This window comes from Homo sapiens, chromosome 2 (genome assembly GCF_000001405.40).
Source record: "Homo sapiens chromosome 2, GRCh38.p14 Primary Assembly".
In the NCBI taxonomy this organism is placed as follows: domain Eukaryota; kingdom Metazoa; phylum Chordata; class Mammalia; order Primates; family Hominidae; genus Homo; species Homo sapiens.
This window is the reverse complement of record NC_000002.12, coordinates 94,905,417-94,930,452: the sequence shown is the minus strand read 5'-3', so window position 1 is coordinate 94,930,452 and position 25,036 is coordinate 94,905,417. Positions and strand designations below refer to the sequence as shown.

Genomic DNA, 25,036 nt, shown 5'->3' with positions numbered 1-25,036 from the left:
CCTCTTGGGAGAAATGCACTGATTCTGGTTGCCACGTGGATTTATTTTGGGAGTGATATTCATCTAACTTCATGGAAAATAATACTGGATAGAAAGTTAGCAGATGAATTCTCTATCTGATGAGAGTTTTGGGCAAATCGAATACCAAGTTACCAAGTTTTATTTTTTTCTCTGATGCAAAAAAACAATTTGCCAGCCGGTGAAAAAAACTCACAGCTCTGGATGTGAGTTTAGGATACTGGATTTCTACCATTCAATATCTTACTATTTTTTGCATAGGGATCATGGCACAAGTTGCAGTTTCCACCCTGCCCATTGAAGATGAGGAGTCCATGGAAGATGAGGAGTCTGTTGAAGACGAGGAGTCCGTTGAAGATGAGTCCGCGGAGAGCAGGATGCTGGTGACATTGCTCATATCAGCTCTTGAGTCCACGGTGAGACCTTCTGTTCTAACATTCTATAATTAGGTAGGACTGGGTGGTAGATAAGGTTGATTTGTTTTTGTAGAATTTATAATTTTATGATTTATAGTTCCAATGAGTAGATATTTTTCTTGAGTAGTAGTTACGGTCAAACACTTCTAACCAAATGTGCCATATTGTCCAGCCTGGTCTCAAAATTCAGGGCTCAAGAGACCTGTCCACCTTGGCCTCCCAAAATACTGGGATTACAGGTGTAAGCCCCTGAATTTGGCCAGATATTTTTCTTTTTATGACTGAATAATACTCTGTGTATGTATATATTACATTTTCTTTATCCATTCACCTACTGATGGGCATTAGGGTTGGTTCTACCTTTTGGCCACTGTGAATAATGCTGCTGTTAAACGGGTGTACAAATACCTGTTTCAGTCCCTGCTCTCAGTTATTTTGGGTATATACACTTAAAGGGTGTTGGTGGATCATATAATTCTCTGCTTAATATTTTTAAGGAGCTGCTAAACCATTTTCTACAGTGGGCTGTACCATTTTACATTCCAAAAAGCAATGCATACAGCTTCCAATTTCTCTATAGCATTGCTGACAGTTAATATTTTCTGTTTATGTATTGTATTTTTATAGTGTTTGAAATTAATTTGAGGGTTTTTGCTGATACCAAAATATTAGGAAAGGTTTTCCAAAAATAATACTGCTTATTATAAAGAATTTCATGTGTTACTTGATGCCCTGTGATCTATTTTTTCAGTAAGAAGAGGAACTTCTTGGCTGAGTGCAGCAGCTCATGCCTGTAATCCCAGCACTTTGGGAGGCCAAGGCAGGTGGATCACAAGGTCAGGAGTTCAAGACCAGCCTGGCCAACATAGTGAAACCCAGTCTCTACTAAACAAACAAACAAACAATCAAAAATTAGCTGGGTGTGGTGGTGGGCGCCTCTAATCCCAGCTACTCGGAAGGCTGAGGCAGAGAATTGGTTGAACCCGGGAGGCGGAGGTTGCAGTGACCGAGATCGCGCCACTGCACCCAGCCTGTGTGATAGAGTGAGACTCCATCTCAAAAAAAAAAAAAAAAAAAAGGAAAGGAAAGAAGAGGAACTTCTCTCCATCCAGCCTCATTCCACTGCACCAACTCTTCTGTGTCGGGGTGTGCAGGGGAGAAAGGGAGCTTGGCACCTCTTTGCTGTGTTGAGTTGTGGTAGCCCATCACTGGGTTGTAAGGTGCCTTACCTCCTTCCCCCCTCCTTTTTTTTTTTTTGAGACAGAGTCTCACTCTGTCACCCAGGCTCAGATGCAGTGGTGCGATCTCTGCTCACTGCAATCTCAGCCTCCTGGGTTCAAGCAATTCTCCTGCCTCAGCCTCCCAAGAAGCTGGGACTACAGGTACGTGCTACCACACGTGGCTAATTTTTTTTATTTTTAGTAGAGACGGTATCACCATGTTGGCCAGGCTGGTGTTGAACTCCTGACCTCAAGTGATCTGCCCACCTTGGCCTCCGAAAGTGCTGGGGTTACAGGCATGAGACACTGTGCCCGTCCGCCTCCTCTTTTACTTGGCAGATGCACAGATTCTGGGTGCCATGTACATTTGTTTTGGGAGTGATATTGATCTAACTTATGGAAATAATACTAGATAGAAAGTTAGTGGATGGATTCTCTATCTGATGAGAGTTTTGGGCAAAAGGAATTCCTAGTTTCTGAGTCTTATTTTTCCCCTAATTCAAGAAAACTGTGAATTATCCAGCCGGTGAAAAACTCACAGCTCTGGATGTGAGTTTAGGACACTGGATTTCTACACTCACTTTCTTACTGCTTTTCTTGTGCAAGGATCATGGCACAAGTTGCAGTTTCCACCCTGCCCATTGAAGATGAGGAGTCTGTTGAAGATGAGGAGTCCTTGGAGAGCAGGATGATGGTGACATTCCTAATGTCAGCTCTCGAGTCCACGGTTAGACCTTCTGTTCTCACATTCTGTAGTTTGGTAGGACTGGCCAGTAGATAAGGTTGATTTATTTTTGTAGAACTTACAATTTTATGATTTTCAGTTCTAATGAGTAGACCCTTTTCGTGAACAGTAGTTAGGGTTAAACACCTCTAACCAAATGTGCGTGTGGAGTTTCTACACTGATGTTCAGACAATCTGGATCCCAACTGGGTATCCCACAATTCCATCCTGACACTCCCTGGAGTTAGTGCTGACCCTGTAGGATGGGGGCTCAGTCCCAGGAGTCTACCCTCACTCCACATGCCAATTGCAAGTCTTGGGTTGTTACATGTAGTTTTGACCAACCAGTTAGAAAACAGGGTTTCATGACCCCATTGGTGGGTGGAATCATTTGCTCCGACAGCTTGCAGAACTCAGAAAAACAGATTTTCCTTTTTTTTTTTTGAGATACAGGGTCTCAGTCTGTTGCCAGGTTGGAATGCAGTGGTGTGATCAAAGCTCACTGTAGCATGGGACTCCTGGGCTCAAGTGATCCTCCCACCTCAGCCTCCCAAATAGTTGAGACTACAGGCCCACACCAGCATATCTGGCTAAGTTCTTTTATTTTTTGTAGAGATGGGGTCTTGTTATGTTGCCCAGGCTGGTCTCAAATTTCTGGACTCACATGATCCTCCCACCTCAACTTCACAAAATGCTGGGATTATGGGCGTGAGCCACTGCATCTCACCAATTTACTTTCTTTTACTGGTTCATTTTAAAGGCTATATCTCAGAAATAGCCAGTGAAAGAGATGTACCTGCTGGGCACAGTGGCTCATTTCAGCACTTTGGGAGACTGAGGTGGGAGCATCGCTTAAGTGCTCGGGAGTTTAAGACCAGCCTGGGTAACATGGTGAAAACGCATCTCTACAAAAAGATTTTTCTAAAAATTAGCCAGGTGCAGTGATCTATAGTTCTAGCTACTCAGTGCCTGTAATTCTAGGTACTCAGGAGGCTAGGATGAGAGGACGGGGCTTGAGCTAGGGAGGCATAGGTCACAGTGAGCCACGATTGTGCCACGGCACTCTAGGCTGGGAGACAGAGCCAGACCCTGTCTCAAAACAAAAACAAAAAATAAAACACAGGGCAAGGTGTGTCGGGAGGGGTACAGAACTTCCATGCCCTCTATTGTGCATGTTACCTTCCTGGTATCTCCCTTGTGTTCAGCAACCCAGACATTCTCCAAATCCAGTTGTTGAGGGCGTTTACGAAGGCTTCTTTAAGCAGTCGTGATAGATGAAGTCATTGACCATTGGTGATTAAGTCAGTCTTAGGCCGCTATTTCTTCCTGGAGCCCAGTGGGTGAGGCTGACACCAAGCCTCTAATCAAGCGCATGGTTTGTTCTTCTGGCAACCAGCCCTTTTTCTGAAGCTGTCTAGGAGCTTTCAGTCACCCAGTCATCTCAGTAATATCACCAAATGCATTCGTACTATGGTGAACCCAAAGGTCTTAGAGGCTCTTGTGTTAGAAACCTGGGACTAAGACCAAATAGTCAAACAAAAAATGCTCCTATCATCTTTATCACCAAGGCCTTTATAAGAACTTGAGAAGCTCTGTGCCAAGACGAGGGGCAGAAACCAAATGTGTATTTGTTTTCTTTTTCTTTTGGACACAGAGTCTATTTCACCCAATCTGGAGTGCAATGATGCAGTCGTAGCTAACTGCAGCCTCAAACACTTGGGCTCAAGCAATTCTCCCGCCTCAGCCTTCCAAGCATCTGGGACTACAGGTGCACACCATCCATGCCCAGCTAATTTCTGTATTTTTTTGTAGAGATGGGATCTTGTTAATATTGCTGAGGCTGGTCTTGAACTCTGGGGCTAAAGCGATCCTTTCACCACAACCTCTCAAGTAGCTGAAACTACAGATGCATACCACCATGCCCAGCTAATTTTTTCTTACTTCTTTTTGTTGTTTAATTGAGGGGGTCTCACTGTGTTTCGCAGGCTGGTTCTGAACTTCTGGCCTCAAGCGTTTCTCCTGCTTTGACCTCCTAAACTGTTGGGATTATGGTTGTGAACCACAGCCTCTGTGTCCAGCAATCACAAGAGGTCTTTATAAGTGAAAGAGGGAGGTAAGAGAGTCAGAATTGAAGGAGATTTGATGATGGAAGCACAGGTCACAGAAGGAGATTCGAATATGCTTTGCTTCTGGCTTTGAAGATGCAGTTAGGGGCCATGAGCCAAAGAATAGGGGTGGCTTTAGCAACTGGAAAAGGCAAGGGAACACATTCTCTCTGGAACCTCCAGAAGGGATGCAGTCCTGCTGACACCTTGACTTTAGCCTTAATAGACTTATTTTGGACTTCTGGCCCCCAGACCTGTTAGGTAGTAGATTTGTGGTGTATTAAGCCACTCAATGTAGGGTAGTTTGTAACAGCAGCAAGAAGAAATGAACATGAAGCCAGGGGTAGTGGCCCACTCCTATAATTCCAGCTATTTAGGAGGCTGAGGCAGGATGGTTGCTTTGGCCCAGGAGTTCAAGATAAGCCTGGGCAACAAAGTGATACCCTGTCTACATGGAAAAAAAAAATTAGCGGGCGTGGTGGCATCCACTTGTAGTCTTAGCTACTAGAGGCACTGAGGCAGGACGATTTCTTGACCTAGGAGTTCCAGGTCTCAGTGTGTTGTGATCGTGCCATGGTGCCATGGTGCCTCAGCCTGAGTGACACAGCGAGATTATATCTTAAAAAAAAAAGAAAGTAAAAAGAAATGAGTGAGCATGGCAGGAATGGGGACACATAGCAATATTAAACAGAGTGGTCAGGGTTGGCCTCCTAAGTGAAAATTGAGCAAAGACTTGAAGGAGGGGAAGGAGCTGGCCAAGGTACTGAGGGAAGAGAATTGTAGGCAGAAACAAACAGAATAAAGATGCTAAGAGGGAACTCCGTGGTGTGTTTGAAGCTCAGGAAAGAGCCCTGTGGAGCAGAGAGAGGGAGAGAAGGTAGGGGAGGAGGCCAGGGAGTTGTTGGGCTCAGATCAGTACAGATTGTGTAAGCCCTGGGAGGCTATTGCTGGGGCTTTGGCTTTTATTCTGTCTGAGATGGGAGATGCGGAAGGGTTCTGAGCAGAGAGGTGACATGAACTGTCTACTGATTTAAAAGCATCCCATGGTGGCTGAGTTGAGAAAGATTGTGGGAAGATTTGGGTAGAAGCAGGGAGGCCAAGCTGTGGCAACATCCAGGTAGGAGATGATAGTGGTTCTGACCAGGGTCCTGGCAATGGTGAGAGATGGTTGATTCTTGTTGAAATACTAAGTAATTAAAAAAAAACTACCGATTTTCCCAATTATATGAAGTATGGGATGCTAGATTAAAGAAATCTTAAGTCGGGCCAGGTGCAGTGGCTTATGCCTGTAGTGTCAGCACTTTGGGAGGCAGAGATGGGAGAATTGTTGGAGTCCAGGAGTTTGAGACCACCCTGGGCAACATAGCAAGACCTCCTGTCTATGCAAATAAAAATTAATAAAATATAATTACCCAGGGATAGTGGTATTTTCCTGTAGAACCAGTTACTCTGGTTGTCGAGGTGGGCAGATTTCTTGAGGGTGGGAGTTTGAGGCCAGCTTGGGCAACATAGCAAGGCTCCTCTTTCTACAAAAAAAAAAAAAAATTATCTGGGTGTTGTGGTGCTCATCTGTAGTCGTAGCTATGGTGAGGCTGAGGCAGGAGGATCCCTGCAGCCCAAGGCTGCAGTTAGCTGTGAGTGCACCCGTGCATTGTAGCCAGAGTGACAGAGTGAGACCCTGTCTTAGAATACAAATACAAGTAAAGAAATCTCAACTCAGACCAGTCTCTTTGTGACTATGCAGCCTTTGCAACCCCATAGCTGAGTGATTGGGTTTGTGTTGCTGGAGGTGAGGAGACCCGTGCCCAGCTGTTGTTGCCTGTCTAATCGGTTTATTTTAAAATACATTAATGAAATTCATTTCATCATACTTTATGGCCTCATACCTGAGTGGTTTTTTGAATTCGCCTTTGAACAGTTTGTAACTATTCAAACCTCTTATTGGTTCCATAATTCTTTTTCTGATTGGCTTTTTAAAAATCAGAATTGATATTAAACTACCTAATCAGTTATTAACGAGGAGATGAAATTGAGTTATTTGTACACTTTACCTAAGATAGTGTCATATTGGTTAACTCAAATCAATAGTTGAGCAAATGCAGAATTAGAGCTTCTTCAGCGTGGAACTCTCTTGTGGTTCTTGAAGATGCCATTTCTTTTTTTTTTTTTTTGAGACGGCGTCTTGCTCTGTCACCAGGCTGGAGTGCAGTGGCACAATCTCGATTCACAGCAACTTCTGCCTCCCGGGTTTAAACATTTCTCTTGCCTCACCCTCTGAAGTAGCTGGGACTACAGGTGCATGTCACCACGCCCGGCTAAGTTTTGTATTTTCATTAGATACAGGGTTTCAGCATGTTGGCCAGGCTGGTCTTGAACTCCTGACCTTGTGATCCACCGGCCTTGGACTCCTAAAGTGCTGGGATTACAGGCATGAACCACCGCGCCCGGCCTCTTTTTTCAGTCTTTAATAAACCACTGCTGCCATCGTTTCTGACTACTTACTATTTAGGCACTTAGGAATTTTTCACTGGAATTCATGTAAAGAAAGAACGTGGGCGTTTGTACTGGATTTAGTATTCATCATTCGACTGCATGACTCACCCCTAGCGCCGTAATTTTACTAATAAATTTTTCAGATACTACTCAGCTAGTGACTGAGCCTAACCAGCAACCCACCCTCAACCATTCAGTGGTCTTTTGTTCTTCTCTGTTCCTCCTGAACGTTGATTACTCTCAGTAGGTGATAAAAACTTGCATTTCTTTTTTTTCCCCCCTAGAGACAGGGTCTTGCTCTGTCACCCAGGCTGCAGTGCAGTGGCGTGATCATGGCTCACTGCAGCCTGAAACCCCGGGCTCAGATAGTCCTCCCACCTCAGCCTCCCAAGTAGCTGGGACTAACATAACATTTGCCCCTATGCCCAGCTAACTTCTTGATTTTTTATTGTACAGGCGGGATCTTGCTATGTTGTCCAGGATGGTGTCAAGTTCCTGGCCTCAAGTGATCATTCTGCCTCAGCTTCCCAAAGTGCTTGGATTATATGTAGGTGGGAGCCACCTGTGTTCAACGCCCATTTTCTTTTTCTTTCTTTTTGAGACGGACTCTCGCTCTGTCACGGAGGCTGGAGTGCAGTGGCATGATCTCGGCTGGCTGCAACCTCTACCTCCTTGGTTCAAGCAGTTCCCCTGCTTCAGCCTCCCGACTAGCTGGCATTACAGGCACATACCACCACTCCCAGCTAATGTTTTTGTATTTTTAGTAGAGACGGAGTTTCAGTGTGTTGGCCAGACTGGTCTTGAACTCCTGAAATCAGGCAGTCCGCCTGCCTTGGCTTCCCAAAGCGCTGAGATTACAGGCGTGAGCCACCACACCCGGCCCTTTTTAAAATAATAATAATATTGAAATATGATTAACATATCATGCAATTCATTTATCAAAGCATGCAATTCAGGCCAGGCGCAGTGGCTAATTCCTATAATGCTAAGACTTTGGGTGGCTGAGGCAGGTGGATTGCTTGAGTTCAGGAGTTTGCGATTAGCCTGGGCAACATGAGAAAACAGCATCTCTAGCAAAAATACAAAAATTAGCTGGGTGTGGTGGCTCATGCCTGTAGTCCCAACTACTTGGGGACATGAGACTGGAAGATCACTTGAGCCCAGAAGGCATAGGTTGCAGTGAGACCAGATGGCGCCACTACACTACAGCGTGGTGACAGAAGGAGACCCTGTCTCTAAATAAAGAAAAAAGGTATACAATTCACTGGTTTTTAGAATATTCACAGAGCTGGCATCCATCACCATAGTCTCTCTTAGAAGTGATTACCCACTTACGAGTTAGCCACTTATGAGTGAGAAACCCTCACCTCTTAGCCGCTACCTCCTACTTCCCCCATGTTCCTGTGTCTTCATAGGCAACCACTGATTTATTTTCTGTCATTGTAGTTTTGCCTAATCTGGACCTTTTATAGAAATAGAACTGTACAATGTGTGATCTTTTGTGGTTTGCTTTTTTTTCTCTTAGCACAATGTTTTCAAATTTCTTTCAGGTTAGTGTGTATCAGTATGTCTTTCCTTTTATAGCTGAGTAATAGTTTATGTTTATCCATTCATCAGTTGATGGACATTTGTGTTGTTTCTGTGTATTCGCCGCCATGAGTCAGGCTGCTATGAACACTCATATGTAAGTTTTAGTGTGAAAATATATTTTTATTTCTCTTGGATTTACACCCAGGAGTGAAATTGTTGCATTATGTGATTACTATACATTTAGCCTTTGAGAAACTGCCACGTTGTTTTTCGAAGTGGTTACACCAGTCAGGCACAGTAGCTCACACCTTTAATCTCAGGTATTCGGGAGGCTGAGTTTGGAGGATTGTCTTAGCCCAGGAGTTCAGGACCAGCCTGGGCAACATAGGGAGACAATATCTTGATTTTTAAAAAAGTCAAATGCCAAGAAAACACCCAAATTGATGACACCATTTTATGTTCCCACCGGTAATGTATGTGAGTTCCAATTATTCCACATTGTTACCAACTTTTTTTTTTGGAGACAAAATCTTGCTCTGTTGCCCAGGCTGTAGTGCAGTGGCATGAACACGGCCAGTGCAGCTGTGACCTTCCAGGCACAAGTGATCCTCTCACCTCAGCCTCCTAAGTAACTGGGACTTACAGGTGCATGCTATCATGTGTGGCTGATTTTTACAGTTTTTGGTAGAGATGGGGTTTTGCCATGTAGCCCAGGTTTGTGTCAAACTCCTGAGCTCAAGTGATCTGCCTGCTTCAGCCTCCGGAAGTGCTGAGATTACAGGTGTGTGCCACCAAACCCGACTGGTGTAACCACTTTGGAAAACAGCCATTGAGCCTGGCCTTCACCAGTATACCAATATTTGTTAATATCTTTTTATTTTTTACTATATTTTCATTTTTAAATACATTTTTACCTGTATTATTAATTATAATAAACAACAAATAATTTTGTAGTAGAGTTGAGTCCCCCCAAAAAGTATTTGTTGTTTAACTGAAATAGTTTTTTTTTAAACCTGGATGTATATTTTTTCATATTCACTTTATTTTTAGTGTTTATTTTTAAAAATTATTTATATGTATTTTTACTTTAATAGGTGTTTGAGAAATAGGTGGTGTTTGGGTCCATGAATAAGTTCTTCAGTGTTGATTTCTGAAATGTAGTGCCCCTCATTACTCATTAAATTATATATTAAGTCATTATAAAATCATTAATAAACCAAGGGCTTTAGTAAAATGGGAATTTTATTTTAATTTGCAACCTGGGACGTAACTGTCAAAAAAAATTAGAGAAATTACCACATTAAGATTTTAAAATCTTGAACAGAGAAATGAAAACCTTGGTGCACCTAAGAACCACCAGCCCACCGGGTCAAGGTGAACAAAACTAAACAAAATAAAACCAAGAAAACCAAACTCAGGATTATTAGGTATTCTGCAATGCTATTTTATCTTGGGACTTGCAGAAAATAGTTATTATTATTTTGATAGGAGTCTCACTCTGTCACCCAGGCTGGAGTGCAGTGGTGCATTCGTGGCTCACGGTAACCTCTGCCTCCTGGGTTCAAGTGATTCTCCTGCCTCAGCCTTCACAGTAGTTGGGATTACAGGCAGGCTCCACCATGCCTGGCTAACTTAGTATTTTTGGTAGAGACAGGGTTTCACCATGTTGGCCAGGCTGGTCTGAAACTCCTGATCTCGGGCAGTCTGCCTATCTCAGCCTCCCAAGTGCTGGAATCACAGACATGAGCCACTGTGCTCAGCTGAAAATAGTTAATTTTATGTATATTCCAAGTCAGAATACATTGTTTTTTAATATTTGATGACTTTAGGATACTAAATTTACTCTTAATTGAATTAATACAAGTTTAGGTGTAAAGTTGATGTTTATGTTGACTAAAAATTAATGTTTTACGTATATGAAAGTAATAACGTCATATACTTTTTGTGCTTTTAGAATACTTTGAAATCTATTAGCTAATATTTTATATTCATTTTGGGTTTTCACATTATTGTTAGATCCAGAGAAAACTAATATTTTGTGAATACTCAAATCATAAGCATTTTGCTGGATACATTCATAGATACTTTATTTAAAAAGTACACTAATTGAAGTTTTATACCATTTTATGATTCATCAAACACAGCAACTTAATCCTGGCGTATAGCAACATTACAGATGTTAGTCTAAGATAAAACCCATAGCACATTTTAAAAAGGGTAAAAGGAAGGAAAGGAAAAAGGATACAAGGCTGTATACAGATTTTAAAAACAAATGTCATATGTCTGAACCTTTGCCTGGAGTTTCATATTTTGTGAAAAGCAATTTGTAAGTAGAGGACTCATAAGTGCACCTAGTACACTGCAATGGCACAGACGTGGCAGATACTCAATAAAATGATGTTTAACTTCTGATCTAGGTTATTTTTTTGTTGTTCATGTATTAACCTAGTGAAACTCAGCCAATAGATGGAGTGGCATTGACCTGTAAAACTTCCAAGATCCCGTGATCAATTAAAAAAAAAAAAAAAAAAAACTTCCAAGATCCCATCCAACCTTAGTGTCCTCTGAAGTTCTCCATAATTTATTGTCTGCTGCCACCAACATTTAGCATAAGCTACAGCTTATATTGTTAATCCTACTATGTTTATGTGCTGATTTGCAAATAAATGGGCTTATATAGTCTTCATCTTCACAACCCTAATAATATCTACATAATTTAAAAACTTTGTTATAAACATGATGTTTCATAAAATTATGTGTTATCAATTATGTTCTGATAGAAGAATTACACATTTTTGCTTAAACTTTTCTGACTCTCCATTGCCTATTGAATACAGTAAGTTCTCACATAGTGTGAGGATTTAATATGTTCTTGAAAACTGTGACTTGTAATTACGCCAATTTTACCATAGCCTAATTGATAGAAATAGTTGTTTCCATGGCATATTTCTGGTCACGAAAACATCACCAAACTTAGGCCCAGAACACTTCCAGTATTAAACTCTGAAATAAATGTGAGCTCTACATACATTTAAGAAAAATTAGGTTGGGCACAGTGGCTCACGCCTGTAATCCCAGCACTTCGGGAGGCTGAGGTACGAGGATCACTTGAGGTCAGGAGTTTGAGAGCAGTCTGGCCAACAAGGCAAAACCCTGTCTCTACTAAAAATACAAAAAATTAGCTGGGCGTGGTGCCACGTGCCTGTAATCCCAGCTACTTGGGAGGCTGAGGCAGGAGAATTGCCTGAACCTGAGAGGTGGAGGTTGCAGTGAGCTGAGATCGAGCCACTGCACTCCAGTCTGGGCAACAGAGCAAGACTCCGTTTCAAAAAAAAAAAAAAAAGATAAAAAAATCAATGAAAATGTTACCAGGGCCGCCCTGATGAAATAATTGGGGAAGTTTTTTTTCTTACTGTGTTGTCTTTAGTTTCTTTATTTGTAGGCACAAATGCATAAAGAAACCAGATGGCCCAACAGCACCAGAGTTGCTCCACCCCAACCAGATATTAGAAGGAGGTAACATCCCCAACCACAACCAGCACAAACTTGAACAGGTGACCTCTAGTTGCTTTTAGATCTTTTTTTTTTTTTTTCTGAGACAGAGTCTCACTCTGTTGCCCAGGCTGGAGTGCAGTTGGCACCATCTCGGCTCACTGCAACCTCCGGCTCCCAGGTTCAAGCGATTCTCCTGCCTCAGCCTCACTAGTATCTGGGATTACAGGTGTGCACCACCTAGCCCGGCTAACTTTTTTTTTTGTATTTCTTTTAGTAGAGACCAGGTTTCATCACATTGGCCAGGCGGGCCTCAAACTCCTCACGTTAGGTGATCCACCCACCTTGGCCTCCTAAAGTGCTGGTGATTACAGGCATGAGCCAGAGCGACCAGCCCAGATCATGAACATATCACTATAATACTAAAATTCCTTCCCCCCAAAAAATCTTGCCATTTTGTGTCGTGGGTTGCATAAGGATGTATGTTTATGCACTGAACCTGTGCACCTGGAGTCCCACCCTGCACATGCTAACATTGCTCTCCCTCCCTGTACCCAGTTCTTCAAAACCCCATACCTTCTATTTTTCAGGGGGAGAGTGTCTTTAGAGCAAGAAGTCTTTTCTTCTCCGTGCTCAGCCAGGAAGAAAACCTGTTTGACTTTGTTTCTCATTGGGTTTTCTTGCTTTGCAACTACTACAGAGCAGGGAAAAACCTGTTAATTACCAGTGACAAAAACAAGTAAGATTATTACTTACCCACGTGTTTCAGTTCAGGGTCGTGGGTGGCCAGAGTGTCCCCTAGCAACTCAGGGCGCTAGGCAGAACCAGCCCAGCCCTATATCTTGGATAGGATGCCATCCTATGTCAGAGTGTACACACACACACACACACACACACACACGGCTCAGATGGGGACCATTTAGAAATGCTAGTTCACATAACGGGCACATCTTTGAGATGTGGGAGGAAACTGCAATACCCAGAGAAAACCCCCAGGGACCTGGGAAGAATGTGGAAAGACCACACAGACAGTCCCTGGCTGAGAATTGTTTTTTTCTCATCAACGTTACAATAAAATGATGTTGAATGAAAAGACATTATTCAAGGACCTGCTGTAATAGTCACAGTCCCTCATATAAAAATCAAAGCCCCCTACACTTGGGCACTACACTAGACTTCCGTCCTACACCTACATCCTAGCCACTGTACTACACACCATTTACGAAACTCGCTGTACACTTCTGTGCTGCCAACCGTTTGCCAGGTTGGTTCCCTTTGCTTTTCAAAATTACACACCCATAATTATCCTGCAAAGCCTACCGCATCAGCTCTTCTGTGAAGCTTTCCAGAGTCCACCACTCCTACCATCACCCCAACTCCCTCAGAGGGGAAATCCCTCCCTCCATTTGGCAGCCACTTTTATTGAAACATTTCTCACTGATAATTATTATCAGTCTGCCTTCTCTTTTGGGAAACTTTCTCAGACTACCATACCCAGAATTAAACACTCCATTTTTTTGCCCACCTCAGTCCCTGGTATGTAATTCTACTCCAGCATAGAACATAGAAACCAGAATCATCTTTCTGTATAATTATGTCTTCTATTAGACCCTGTGTCCCTTGAGGATATCATCTTATTCATCATTGTTTCCCAAGAGCCTTGCATACCTTGACACCTTGCTCTGGGCCCCCAGCTTAGCCTGTTTCTTGGCAGGCCGCCCATGGCTGATGCCAACCAATCCTTTCCCTGTCTATCCAAGCACCGGACTTCCTTACTGACTGTTTGCAATTTCAGACCCTCCATCGGCCCTCTGTATCCCGCTGGAGATTTTGGAGCATCTCAGCATCCCCGGGGCAGCCCACAGGCATCAGGGAGGGGCAGGCAACAAAGCCCACATAGACCTTTGCAGGCATCTCAGGATCTCCCAGTGGGATCCTCTTTGCGCCAGCCCATTCCTTAAAATTCTGCTGACTCCCCGACTTCTTCCTCTAGTCTAGCACTTAGCTGGAGTTGCCCTAAAGGTGACCACAGGGGAATTTCCACAAGGGACTGCCCCAGACTGTTCTGAGATGGAGGTGGTTAGTATTCCAAAGAAATAAGCTCTAAACTTTGGGATGATGAGCCCAAAGCATTTCTTAGGGGATGTACACACAGTGGGGGCTGCCCTTCATCTTATTGGGAGAAAGGAGACAGAGGATGCTTTGTCTAGGTATGTCTGCAGTGAGGGGTTCTGGTTATGCAGTTTATAGGAGAGCTTAAGGAATTTGTCCTAGGATCAGGGATACTTTTTTTTTTGAGACGGAGTCTCAACTGTCGCCCAGGCCAGAGTGCAGTGGCACAATCTCAGCTCACTGCAACCTCTGTCTGAGGTTGATTTTACCACTCCTAATACTTGATACTAATCGTTCTGATATATTCTTGTTCATGTGTATTAGTTTTCTTATTTCTGATGTAACACATCACTACAAACTTAGTAGATTCAAATAATGTAAATTTTTAACCTTTTGGTTCTGGAATTCATAAGTCTAAATGGTTCTATGAGTCTAAAATTAAAGTGTTAGCAGGGCTGGGCTTCCTTTGGAAGCTCTAGAGAATGATCTGTTTTCATACCTTTTCCAGCTTGTATGAGCTGACTACATTCCTTAGCTCATGGCCCTGCTGCCCACAGCTTCAAATGAGACAACACCAAGTTGAGTCCTCTTTAGATCACATCAATTTAAATCTCCTACTATTCATATTTCCTTGTGACTCTCCTATGCATCCTTCCTTCTCTTCAAAGGATCTTTGTGATTATACTGGGCCCTCTGAAGAATCCATGATAATCTTATCTCAAGGTGCTTAAGTTAATCACATTTACAAGATCTCCTTTTCCATGTCAGGTAACATATTCACAGGTTTCAGGGACTATACTTTATTCTCCACTTCTGGAGAAGTCCTTGGAAGATACTCATTTAATTTAGCATACGCTGTAGAGGCACACAATACTCCTCATAGAACACTTGAGCATGTAATTATATCCCAAATATTTTTAAAACTATGTTTGTTGTTTTACATGGTAAAAGATTTTTGCATATGTGATTGAGATAGGAAGATGACCTAGGTGAGTAATTGCATGAATATTCATAAGAGAAAGAGGTAGGTATGAAATAGAGTCAGAGAAGGAGACTTGATGGAAGCAGAAGTCAGAGTGATGTGATTTCTGGCTTCAAAGCTGGAAGGAGGCTGTGAGTCATGGAATACAGGCAGGCTTTAGAAGATGAAAAGGCATGGAACTTGACTGTCTCATAGACAGAATTATTTAATTGCTACTGAGTCTAAAAAAGGTCTTAGCTCAATGTCTTATCTATCATCCCTGTGAGTGTCAAGAGAATAGATCCTCCATACTCTCATACTCAGGTTTTGTTTCCTCTTTCCCACTAAGTAGTTTTCCTGTTGCTTATTTAAGTGGTTTTTTTCTAGATAGAGGGACTATTATGTATTATTTTGTAGATACATACCCTAAATATACATATCATATCTGTGTACAAATAATGTGTAATTGCATACATTCTGATGATTTCTAATTTCTTGATTGTATCACACACTGTGGTTTAGTGTCAAGCATCCAGTCATTTGGTCTTCCATAACTACTTCTCAGTGTATACATTCACCAGCTTGTCATGCTTCTTGAATTATGTTTCCTTTAGTAGTTGACATATTTCTAATTTATCTTAAGACTCCCTTCAAGCCATTCTAGCCTCTAATGAAAAAGTGTGATCATTACCCCATTTTCTTTTGCCAGCTGACATGTAGCAGCATTTTTTTCTCCATATTTCTAGAATTCTTCCAGAGTTGCAGTTCATGATCATGCAAGTTGTAGTTTGCACAGCTCCAGGGGCACTCTTTACCTCAGAGTCATCATATAATAGATTGGTATATTACTTACTGCTGCAATTTGAAGATGGTAACAAAGTACCTTAAATAATGGTCAGCTGTTCCTATATTGCACAAAGGTGGCATTCTGGCCAGTGAGTGCTACTTATAATTTGATATCAAAAACTTACAATTTGATAAGAATGACCAAATTTTTGCCCTCAGGTCTGATGGAATAACAAGGATCAAGCTTGCTTTTCTTGAAGCAAATAACTAGAAGTAAATAACTAGAAGTAAATAACTAGACAACTGGACCAAATATATTTATCAATTAGTTTCAGGTATTGAACAATGGAACAAAACAGTGAAAGGAAACAAACAAGGCCAGCTATATGATCACCACAGTTTTCTGCATAGTTGCAATTTCTGAATCACAGGCACAGAAAGGAGCCCAAATAGAACCTCAAAGGCTTTTTGAGTTGAGGAAACCAGAGACTGGAGAGACAGAGGGTGCATGGCAGAGCTCCAGAAAGGATGAAAGTATGAAGAGAAGAAGCTCTTGTAATACCCTTGGAGTACCCTTTGCATTTTTGCTGAGAACTAATCAGTGCGTGCATAGAGTTCAAGTCCATGAGACTGGCATAAGATAACTAGGAATATGCAACCTGAATAATACCCAGAGTTGAGACAAAGAGGAAAGATATATGCAATCTGGCTACTGAGAGTCCCTGGTGATAGCTCACGGGACTATGCCTTAGTAGTCGAGCTAAAGTACACCAGGAATGAAGCCTGTTTGTATGCCAACCATAATAAAGCTTAAAAAGAGGCCTTAAAAGATCAAACTGATACAAGTAACTCATACTGCTTGCCAGAGGAAAGTATAGCATTTTTAAAGGAAAAAAACAACAGTGCAACCACTCACATTTCCAGCATTAAAAAAAAAATTCCTAGACATGCCAAGATGCAGGAGAATGTGAAGCATAATCAGGAGTAAATTAGACAATAGAAACAAAATCAGAAATGTGAAGGATCTTGAAACTAGAAGATAAAAATGTTATTAGAGTTCATAAAACTATGTTTAACTTTTAAAATGAATATAATGCACTAGTGTTAAAAGCAAGAGCAAAGTGCAAAAAGTATGTATAGTGTACTATGCTTCATGTAGAAAAGGATAGGATTTAAGGAAATATGCATGTATGATCTTTTGTGCAAAATAAATACAGGGAAATAAAATCCAGAAACAGATTGTTTACCTACAGAGGGTGAGTGTGAATGGGGTGGAAAGAATGGGGTAATAGAAACAATAGCACAAAAGAGGGAAGAATGACACTTTGCTGAGCATTTTTCTTAGCTCTAATTCTTAAGAGTTATAATATTTCACATGCCCTCAAATAAATAATTTAAATTTACCAGATATGGGGGAATGGAATACAAACAGTAACAAATGAACTCAACTCTTACAAATTATTATTAGAACCACACAGAATTGGGGCACAAAAGAGCTAAACAAAGTAACTTAAAAAAAGCAAGAGTTCTTGACTGTATCTTTAAGGCTAAAGACAAAACTGCACAAATACTTCACTATAGTTTACAAATGTGTTTTCACAAGGGTATGAGTTTGCAAATGTGAAATTTTGTGTATGCTAGGATTGAACAAAATGTAAATATACTGTGGATGAGAGCCAGGCTTTCTTTTTTTTCTTTTTGGTTTATTAATCTCATGAAAAATCCACAATGGCCACAGATAACATCATTGCAGCACCTTTACTCCTTCAGCTTTTTGCCAGCACCAACACTAGCCTTTGCAGTTCTCCTGACTTTCTTCATTCTGTTCTTGGCGTTCCCTTTTATTGCCTTCTTGAGGTTTTTTTCTTCTCATAGAGGCCATGTCTTGCAAGTCTGTGTTTGGGTTCATTTTTCTTTGCATAATCCAGAGAATTGTAAATCATGCCAAAGCCAGTTGTCTTGCTACCACCAAAATTAGTTCTGAATCCAAATACAGAGATGACATCTGGTGTGGTCTTGTACATTTTGGCTAGTTTTCCCCGAATTTCTGTCTTAGGCACTGTTGCCTTCCCGAGGTGAAGGACATCAGTGAGCATTTGTTTCCTCGGAAGTAGTCTGTTGGTCATGAACTTTCTAGCGTGGATAGTTAGCGGTGACGTTCGTGATGGTGGTCTGATGAGAGCCAGGTTTTCTACCATCAGAGCATGGAGTTACAAATAAGGGAAGGAGAAAGGCTATAATGCATCCTGTAGTGTTGGATTGGAATCAAAAGTATTATATGAAGTCATTGTTTTTAGTATATGTACAGACGGATAATTGTATACATATAGATGTGTATAAATGTGTGAGTATACATACATGCATTTTCTAGCTCCTCTAACAAAAGGGCCTAGAAACATCATCCCAGTAACAATGAGAAAACCATTCTCCAATTAAAGGAACCAAGGCTCCTTGGGAACATATTTGACATCAGGATTAGGCAGGGAAAATAGAAGATTAGTTTGAAATATTTTGTCATGCTAGAAAGTAAGGAAATACAAAACGGGGAAAATGTGAAAAGGAAACAGAATCCACTTTGAATAAAGTTACATAGCCAAATTTGAGAAAATTGGGGCAATAAAATAAATAACAATAGTAATATATTACAATCTACAGAAGAAAATTTTCAGTTAATCCAGGCCGGGTGCAGTGGCTCATGCCTGTAATCCCAGCCCTTTGGGAGTCCGAGGCGGGCAGATCACTTGAGGTCAGGAGTTCGAGACCAGCCTGACCAGTGTGGTGAAACCCCGCTTCTACTAAAAATACAAAAGTTAGCTGGGCATGGTGGCACATGCCTGTAGTCCCAGCTACTTGGGAGGCTGAGGCAGGAGAATGGCTTGAATCCCGGAAGGTGGAAGTGCAGTGAGCTGAGATCGCACCTTGGCACTCCAGCCTGGACGACAAAGCAAGACTGCATCTCAAAAATAAAAAAAAATTAATGAATCCATATTGACATAAATAATACATTAAATATAAACCAAAGGGGGAGAATGGGCAGTATTTTATTACAGTAAGATTTTATTAAATGTAGGAGACATAAAATGCAAGAATCATCATTTTGCAAATATCATAGTAATTGTAGGAAGAAAGAACCTTGGAGGGATGCTAAGATTAGTGGTGAATATATGTTGGGAAAGAACATATTTGCATAATATGAAAGTATCTTCCCACAGGATAATTACAGAATAGTAACTTCAAAGTGGAGATGCTACCTTAGCCAAGTGATCAAAGTTAACATTACTAATAATAAGGTAAATGAACTTCATGTAACTTCTTATATGATGCACTGAGTAGGACAAAACATCAGTTCTATGGTATTCTTAGACAAAATGTGTAACTTTAGTCCTAATCATGAGAAAACATCAGACAAATTGAAATCGAGGAAGGGCGTTCTACAGAATAACTGCCAGTATTCTTCAAAAGCATTTTACAAAGACTGAGGAATTCTCCAGAGACATGGAGACATGTCAACTAAGTGCAATGGAGAACATGGATTGTTTCATGAACCAGAGATGGACAACACTAGGATGTATAAAATAATACCCCAACATTTGAACATTAAGCTACAAAATACTTCAGAAAAACTCATGGGCCAAGAAAAGTTTCACACGCACACACAAAATAGCTTAAACTGAAAGAAAAATTTTTAAAAACTTAAAACATGGGATGCAGATAAATCATTTCTTAAAGGTAAATTTAGATGTAATATTGAAAATAAAAGGCTTAAATCAATGACCTCTAGGTTCTTTTTTAAAAAGCTAAAAAAATGAAGAGCAAAGTATATCCAAATTAAGAAGGAGATAAAGATAAAAAAGCAACAACATAGCAAATAACCAAAGGTGGAGCTAATTAATACACCCACAAATTGGTTCTTTGACAAAAATGTTTTAATGAACAATGGCTAGCAAGATTTATCACAGAAAAAAATTAGAGAAGCTACAAAATTTAGATAACAGGAATTAAATAGTTTGTAATTACAGAACCTATAGACATCAATATAATTATGAAAACTTTAGGCCAATACAATTTGACAAATAACATGGGAAATTATTTGTAAAACTAATTCTTAAAACTGATGCAAAAAGAAAGAAATAATAGCTTCTCTATGTATTGAAGAATTTTTTTTAATTAAAAATTTCTATAAGAATTCCGGGCTGCATGGTTTCTTAGGTGAATTCTATCAAACATTTAAGAAAGTACAGAGAGTCCTCAACTTACAGTGGTTTGACCTTGTGCTCTTTTGACTTGATAATGGTGCTTTCATGTGTGTACATTAATGATGAGCATCAATATGACCAGTTTTTCACTATCAGAATAGTTTTCAATAAATTTCATGAGATACTCAATATTTTAAAATGGGCCTTGTGGTAGATGATTTTGCCCAATTGTAGGCTAATAAAAGTGTTCTGAGCAAGTTTAAGGTAGGCGAGGCTAAGTCATGATATTCAGTAGGTTAAATATATTAAATGCGTTTTAGACTTAAAATATTTTCAATTTAGGATGAGTTCATTAAGACAAGCCCATTGTAAGTTGAGGAGTATCTATAATGCCAATCTTGAACGGACTCTTTTTAAGAAATAGAATTTAAGGGCCGGGCACAGTGGTTCACACCTGTAATCCCAGCACTTTAGGAGGCCGAGGCGGGCAGATCACATGGGGTCAGGAGTTTGAGACTAGCCTGACCAGCGTGGAGAAACCCCCATCTCTACTAAAAGTACAAAATTAGCCGGACATGGTGGCACATGCCTGTAATCCCAGCTACTCGTGAGGCAGAGGCAGGAGAATAGCTTGAACCTGGGAGGCAGAGGTTGCAGAGAGCCGAGATTGCACCATCGCACTCCAGCCTGGGCAACAAGAGTGAATCTCTGTCTCAAAAAAAAAAAAAAAAAAAAAAAAAAATTAAAGGGACCCTTACTGCCTTATTTTATGAACCCAGTATTGCCCTGATTCTAAATCGAGACAAAGGCATTATACAACTTTGATATTTATTCCTCATAAACATAGACTCAAAAGTTCTTAAAACATAATAACCAATTGAATATAGCAGTACATAGAATGGATAATAAACTGTGAGCAAATGAAATTTCTAACAAGATTGCAAGGTTAATTTATTATTTGAAAGATCAGTTTAATCAATTTTATACACCTGGGAGGTTACATCTGGCAAAATTCAGCAAACTGTGCACTTTAAAATAGGAGTATTTATTTTATGTAAATTATGTTTCAATACAATTGATTTTTTAAAAAAACGTTTCCCAGAGTGATCAAAGTGGAGGGCAGGGAACAGTAAACATCATTGTTTACGTTACAGCTACTGGAAGCCTCCGAATTCCAACGACGTGCTTTCAATCAGGTCTGATCCTTCCCCTGGCGGATACCTCTGACTCAGGTGTGCTACAAATGCATTGCCCCTAGTTGCTTCTATCACCTTAGTGATGGAAGTGAGAAGAGGGTACTGGAGAAAGAAAAGGTGTACAGGGTTCCAAATGTACTTTCTTTTTCCAGAGGACACTCGTGAAGCCAGTGGAAAGCAAACAAGCTGCTAAATAAGTCACAAGCGTGTTCTCATACAGTTTTGCGATTAAATAGGACATTCAATCAATAAAATTTGTTTTACATAGTTCCTCCTCTGATAGGATGAACTTGTGGATTGTGAGACAGGGCTGATAGAACCTGTTTTCTCTCTGCCTCTTTTTTTTCCCCCAAGTTTTGTGTGCAATACATTAGGAAAAATATAATTGGGCTACAAAGCTACAAAAATGGCTTCCTGACAGCCTCATACTTGTTTCCATGTGGTGCCTATGTTTGGCACTGTGTTCTCATTTGCATTTTCCTACTTGATTAGTTAATGTATGAAGGACAAGCCTGATCTCTACTGTGAATTTCTACCAAGGTATTTTAGTAGAAAAATAAGTATGTAATGGTGCTGTGGACTGCTAAAGTGTGTAAAACATTAAGAATCTAAAAATATGCTCATTTCCAAGTTTTGTCCCAGAGCAACTGTGCACGCTGATTAAATCACTACTGTTATTTGAAGTTATCCATTTGCATGTCTAAGAAATGGATTCATACTGATTGTCCCATTTTGATCTCAAAAAACTCCTGAATATGAGAGTCGTGATCAAGGGACGCTTCATGAAATGTTCCAAAGTTAAAGTGTGCAATGAAACTAGATTCGTCATAGCCTCATCTAAAATAATTATTTCTAAAATTGTTGTTGTTTAATTATAAGCTGTATCCTTTCAGGATACTTGGAAGAGCCATAACAGTGTTTATATTTTTACAGAACAAACATAAATTATCTATGAAATAATCACTCAGATATAGAGATTAGTTCCTATTGGCCTTACATATGAATATAAATAAGTAAAAATTATTAACGTATAAGCATACTTATAATTATGTAAATGTGTGTGTAATGTTATTTGTAAGTTCAATAAAGTCATGCTTGTACATAGTTTCAATTCATGCTTCTAAAAACCACTCAATGTAGTCATTATCGTATGTTAATAAATAATCTCTGAAAATATGCTTCTGGTAGTTGCACAATATCCCTTCATAAAGACTGTCATGCTGTTTTTAAGTCATACTTTTGGGTACATAGGTTATATCTGATATTTTCCTGCTACATATATACTATTATAAATCTATTAGTAGTTGATTTTTTGTCAACACATATGATTGTTTCCTCACAACAGTACAAGAGTTGGTTGTAACTTTATTTCCTTCCAACATTTATTTTAGGTTCAGCGGGTACATGTGCAGGTTTATTATGTGGGTAAAATGTGTGTCAGTGGGGTTTGGTGTAAAGATTACGTAGTCATCCAGGTAGTGAGCGTAGTATCTAATAGGGAGTTTTTTGATCCTCACTCTCCCCCCACCCTCCACCCACAGTAGACCTTGTGTCTATTGTTCCCTTCTTTGTGTCCACATATGTGGACTCAATGTTTAGCCCCCACTTATAAGTGAGAACATGCAGTGTGTGTTTGGTTTTCTGTTCCTGCATTAATTCACTTAGAATAATGGTCTCCAGCTCGATTCATGTTGCTGCAAAAGGCATTATGTCATCCTATTTTATACGTGTGTAGTATTCCATGGTGTATTTTTTTTTTAATCTAGTCTTCTGTTAACAGGCATCTAAGTTGATTACATGTCTTTGCTGTTGTGAATAGTGTTATAATGAAAATATGTGTGCATATGTCTATGACAGAATGATTTATATTCCTTTGGGTATATACCCAGTAATGGGATTGCTGGGTTGAAAGGTAGTTCTGTTTTAAGTTATTTCAGAAATCTCCAAACTGCTTTCCACAGTGGCTGAACTAATTGCATTCCTGATGAAACTGGAGAGTTCCCTGACTCCCCTTGGCAGGATGTGCAACAGGGGTGTGGCTTGTCTGGCCACCGTGTGCGCTGTCAAACCCCTACTGGGCAGGAGAGCATGCAGACAGGCAGGTGCAAAAGCCAGGGCAAGTGGCCATGGTAGCGTCTAGGGGTGGGTGCCTGCGACTCCCACAGCCCAAGTGGGCATGTGTTACAGTGCACTCTTTTAGCTTTGTCATCCACAGACAGCTTAAGTGTTAACCCGTTCAGTGCCCTCTTGGTACCCAGGTCCTTGTCCAGCATCCAGAAAGAATTAAGTTGCACACAGACTTGAGAATGGTGAATGTGTGGGGGTTTTATTGAGTGGTGGAGGTGGCCCTCAATGGGATGGATGGGGAGCTGGAAAGGGGATGGAATGGGAAGATGATCTTCCCCAGGAGCTTTGCCATCCAGAGGTTGATCTCTCCAACCACTGCCAGCCAAACTCCTCTTGGCATTCAGATGCTCCTTCTCTTCTTTCTGCCACATCATTCTGCAGTTCTGCTCTTCTGTTCATCTCCTCATCGGCTTGTCTGCTTCTGGAGCCTGGGGTCTGGGGTTTATATGGGTACAAGGTAGAGGGGCATGGTAAGCTGAAAGACAACTTTTGGGTGCAAAAGCAGGAATGCCTGTTCCCATTTAGGGCCATGGGTTTCCAGGCTTGTGGGCAGGGCTTTGCCAGGGAACCGCCCTCTTCTATCCAGTATTTCCCTGCCTCCTGTCTGTATCACCACCAGCAGTGTATAAGCATTCCCTTTTTTCCGCAAGCTCACCACCGTCTGTTATGTTTTGACTTTTTAATAATAGCCATTCTGACTGGAGTGATATAGTATCTCATGGTTCTGATTTTCTGATGATTAGTGATGTTGAGTATTTTTTCATATGCTTGTTTGCCACATGTACGTCATCTTTTGAAAAAAGAATCCACAGACAGCTTAAGTGTTAACCCATTCAGTGCCCTTGGTACCCAAGTCCTTGTCCAGCATCCAGGAAGAAGTTGCACACGGACTTGAGGATGGTGAATGTGGGGGTTCATGTTTTTTGCCTATTTGTAGTGGGTTTGTTTTTTGCTTATTGATTCTTTATACATGCTGAGTATTAGACCTTTTTCAGATGTGTAATTTGAAAATATTTTCTCCTGTTCTGTAGGGTGTTCTCTGTTGATAATTTCTTTTTGCTGTGCTGAAGCTCTTTAGTTTCATTAGGTCCCACTCGTCAATTCTTCTTGTTGCAATTGCTTTTGGAATCTTCATCATGAAATCTTTGCCAGCGTCTATGTCCAGAATGATATTTCCTAAGTTTTCTTCTAGGGTTTTTATAGTTTAGGGTCTTATGTAAGTCCTTCATCCGTCTTGAGTTGATTTTTGTATATGGTGAAAGGAAGGGAGTGTACACGCCCCTGTGATATTGTTCCTAATATCCAGGTTGGGAGAGGATAATATTACACTCAATATTGCAGGAGGTGTCAACCACCCTGAATATTGCTTTTAATACCCGGGGAGAGAGGGTGATATTACTCCCAATATCATCTTCTCCCCCCACCCCCTGCATAGTAGAAACAATATCAAAGGGGGTCTGTGCAACACGTGCAATATTGGGAGTAATATCCTCCCCCCACCTGGATATTAGAAACAATATCACGGGGTTGTACACCTCCTGTGATATTTGGGAGTGCTATCATTTTCTTTCCCCATGGATATTGAGAACAATATCACAAGGGCAGTATACAACTCCTGCTATATTGGGAGTAATATTGTACTCTCCCCACCTAGATATTA

The 25,036-nt window shown here is 40.8% G+C and overlaps 1 long non-coding RNA gene and 1 pseudogene across 1 annotated transcript in view; one reads left to right on the top strand and one right to left on the bottom strand.

Moving 5' to 3' along the window:
• The window catches only part of LOC442028 (uncharacterized), a 78,658-nt gene that overhangs the window by 16,890 nt on the left and 36,732 nt on the right, over positions 1 to 25,036 (top strand). Inside the window, exon 5 of the long non-coding RNA NR_037597.1 lies at positions 280 to 434. This is a non-coding gene — a long non-coding RNA (uncharacterized LOC442028). The remainder of the gene's footprint in view (positions 1 to 279; positions 435 to 25,036) is intronic.
• Positions 17,553 to 18,042, bottom strand: RPS24P6 (ribosomal protein S24 pseudogene 6; annotated as a pseudogene).